Source organism: Homo sapiens, chromosome 15 (genome assembly GCF_000001405.40).
Source record: "Homo sapiens chromosome 15, GRCh38.p14 Primary Assembly".
NCBI lineage: Eukaryota > Metazoa > Chordata > Mammalia > Primates > Hominidae > Homo > Homo sapiens.
Window position 1 is genome coordinate 34,972,091 of NC_000015.10, and position 3,499 is coordinate 34,975,589.

The following is a 3,499-nucleotide window of genomic DNA, read 5'->3' on the forward strand; positions in this document are numbered from 1 at the left end:
CACCCAGCTAATTTTTGTATTTTTAGTAGAGACGGGGTTTCGCAATGTTGGCCAGGCTGGTCTCGAACTCCTGACCTCAAGTGATCCACCTGCCTCGGCCTCCCAAAGTGCTGGGATTACAGGCGTGAGCCACCGGGGGCGCCCAGCCCCTAATTTTAGTCATTTTAATAGGTGTGTGATATATTTCGTTGTGACTTTCATTTACATTTCCCTAATGACTAATTGAGCATCTCTTCATGTGCTTATTTGCTATTCATATATCTTCTTTGGGGAAGCCTCTATTCATATTTTTTGCCCTTTTTTAAATTGAATAACTTGGTTTCTTACTACTGAGTTTCAATGCACACCCCTACCATTCCCAAATCCATACGTAAATTAAACATGTGTCTCTAGTTAAACTCTCCCTGGATGAACACATGCAAGAAACTGATAACACTATTGTTTCCAAGAAGAAGGAACTGTGGGGAGGGGACAACAGGAAGGGGAGAAAAGTTATTTCATATTTTATACCTTTTTGTAACTTTAGAATTTTGTAATATGTATGACATGTTCAAAAATAAACAGTGTAGGCCGGGTGCAGTGGCTCACGCCTGTAATCCCAGCACTTTGGGAGGCCAAGGCGGGCAGATCACAAGGTCAGGAGACTGAGACCATCCTGGCTAACAATCCTGTCTCTACTAAAAATACAAAAAATTAGGCGGGTGTGGTGGCGGGCGCCTGTAGTCCCAGCTGCTCGGAAGTCTGAGGCGGGAGAATCACTCGAACTGGGGAGGCGGAGGTTGCGGTGAGCTGAGATCAGGCCACTGCACTCCAGCCTGGGCAACAGAGCAAGACTCCATCTCAAAAAAATAAAAATTTAAAAAAACAGTAAAAAAATAAACAGTGTGGGCCAGGCGCAGTGGCTCACGCCTGTAATCCCAGCACTTTGGGAGGCCGAGGCAGGTGGATCATCTTGAGGTCAGGAGTTCAAGACCAGCCTGGCCAACATGGTGAAACCCCATCTCTACTAAAAATACAAAAACTTGCTGGGCATGGTGGTGTGCACCTGTAATCCCAGCTACTCGGGAGGCTGAGGCAGGAGAATCACTTGAACCCAGAAGGCGGAGGTTGCAGTGAGCAGAGATTGCACCATTGCACTCCAGCCTGGGCAACAAGAGTGAAACTCCATCTCAAAACAACAACAACAACAACAACAACAACAAAAATAAAAACAAAAATAGACAGTGTGAACGTGAAAGCAAAAGCCTGTAGGAATGGAGATTAAATGTGAAGTCCTTTTTCCCCCTATGTTATTGTGTAAAGTTTAGAGTGCTAGTGATTAAAATTTGCATCATCACAATTTTAAATGTAACAGATTTTGCATGTATAATATCTATTGACATTTTACTTACAAACACACTATAAAACAGGAAAAATAAGATTCTGATGGCTTTTATGATGAATCTTGACATATAACATTTTGACTAGCAAAAACCACAGGGACTGTATTTCTATACTATGCTATAGTTACAGCACAGATAAAGCCACCGAAGCAGGTCATGCAGGGCTATGTCAGGAGTCAACAATAAGGCTTGATGTGTTGAAAGCCTTGAAAGCTAGGGAGAGGAAGCTCTCTTCCACAATAACAATTGTGGAAGACAATGGGAAACCACTGATTGTAAATCTATTTTTGGAAGATGACTTCTGAGTAGTATGTCAAATGGGTTGGTGCAGGTACTATGGGGATGGGAATATCAGCTAGGAGACTACCGCAAATCTAAAGCTAAAATAAAAAGGACTAAATGTGGGTTCTGACAGTCAAAATGAAAAGGAAGGAATAAATGTGGAAGACACTGGAAAGACAGAAAAAGAGAAATAATCTTTAGTAGTTGCAAGAATAGTGGAACCATAAAGCACAATAGAGAAGATAGAGGGTAGAGTAGGTTTTAAAAGGAAAAATGATTCCTTTATATGGAGAGTCTGAGGTAGCAGGGAGACAGCCAGGTGATGATAAAGTTTATTTTCCAATTTACATGTTTATTAAATTCATAATGTATCTCATGATTTTGTGGCCAAGAGAATATTAGGGGCCGGGTGTGGTGGCTCACGCCTGTAATCCCAGCACTTTGGGAGATCAAGGTGGATGGCGCACCTGAGGTCAGAAGTTCGAGACCAGCCTGACCAACATGGTGAAACCCCGTCTCTACTAAAAATACAAAAATTAGCTGGGCGTGGTGGCACACACCTGTAATCCCAGCTATTAGGGAGGCTGAGGCACGGGAATCACTTGAACCTGGGAGGCAGAGATTGCAGTGAGCCAAGATCGCACCACTGCACCCTAGCCTGGGTGACAGAACGAGACTCCATCTCCAAAAAAAAAAAAAAAATTAAACCAATAAGCTACAGATCACATGTAGCTTTCTACTGATCTAACATGTAAATGGTTCTAATTTATAATACCTAGCAGATTTATGACAAAACGTAGTATCATAATATCTCCCCTCCCTCTTGCTCTCATCTCTATCTACTTTTCTTACCAACTTCTCTTAACTAAGTTTCTGACTGATGGTTTCGGACATTCTAAAATTATGTATATTTTATGGTTTCCTCTTTACAAGCTTTCTACAATGTGTTTTGTAGACAGAAAGCAAAGGAACCAGGGAGTCAAGATAGGGTTTCAAATGACAAGATTGTCACTAGTGTCAAATGCTTCAAAGAAATCTGAAAGGACAAGAATTTCAAAAAGACCATGAGCTTGGCAATTAGGAGACCATTGGTGACCATTATTAATTGGGATATGTTGTAAGAAAATCTACTTCTAAATTGGTTAACAGTAAGTAAAATCTATAGGGGTAATAAAATCTATAGGGGTGATAAGTTAGGCTTCAGGCAGTTGAATCAGGTTTCCAGCTCCATTACTCTGTGATTCTTTTCTTTGCCCCCCTACCCCATTCCCTCTGTGTTTTGACTTCACCAGATGAGTGTCCCTCATGGTACCAAAATGGAGGGAGCTTCTTCTGTACACCCACTAATCCTTCCTGAATCACTACAGCAAGTACGTGGTTTTGCTCTGATAGAATTAACTTAGGTCAGTGCTCACCCCCAAGCCAATTACCCTGGCTTAGACCTGGGTTACCTATTTCTGAACAGTCATCATGGCAAGAGAGATGTGAGTATTCTGACAGCCTTAGACTGATCACGACCCATGGCTGAGCTGCAACTAGGTCAGTCTAACCCTGACTACTTGGCTGATATACAGTGAAGGGAGAAGGAGATGTGGTTACAACCAACAATGACCACTACAATAGCCACTGAGAGAGCAACTCCCAAAGGATGGTGAAGAAAACATGTATTCAATAATAAAGGGCTAAGAAGTTAGTGAGTGAAAAGGCCATGAAGGAAGTAGATGGAAGATAAATTTGCAATAGTTCTTACCATAAAAGAAAAAAAGTCAATTGTGACAGTATCCAGAATAACAAAACTAAAGTTGTTTGTCCCCACAAACACACCTTTTTAAGTT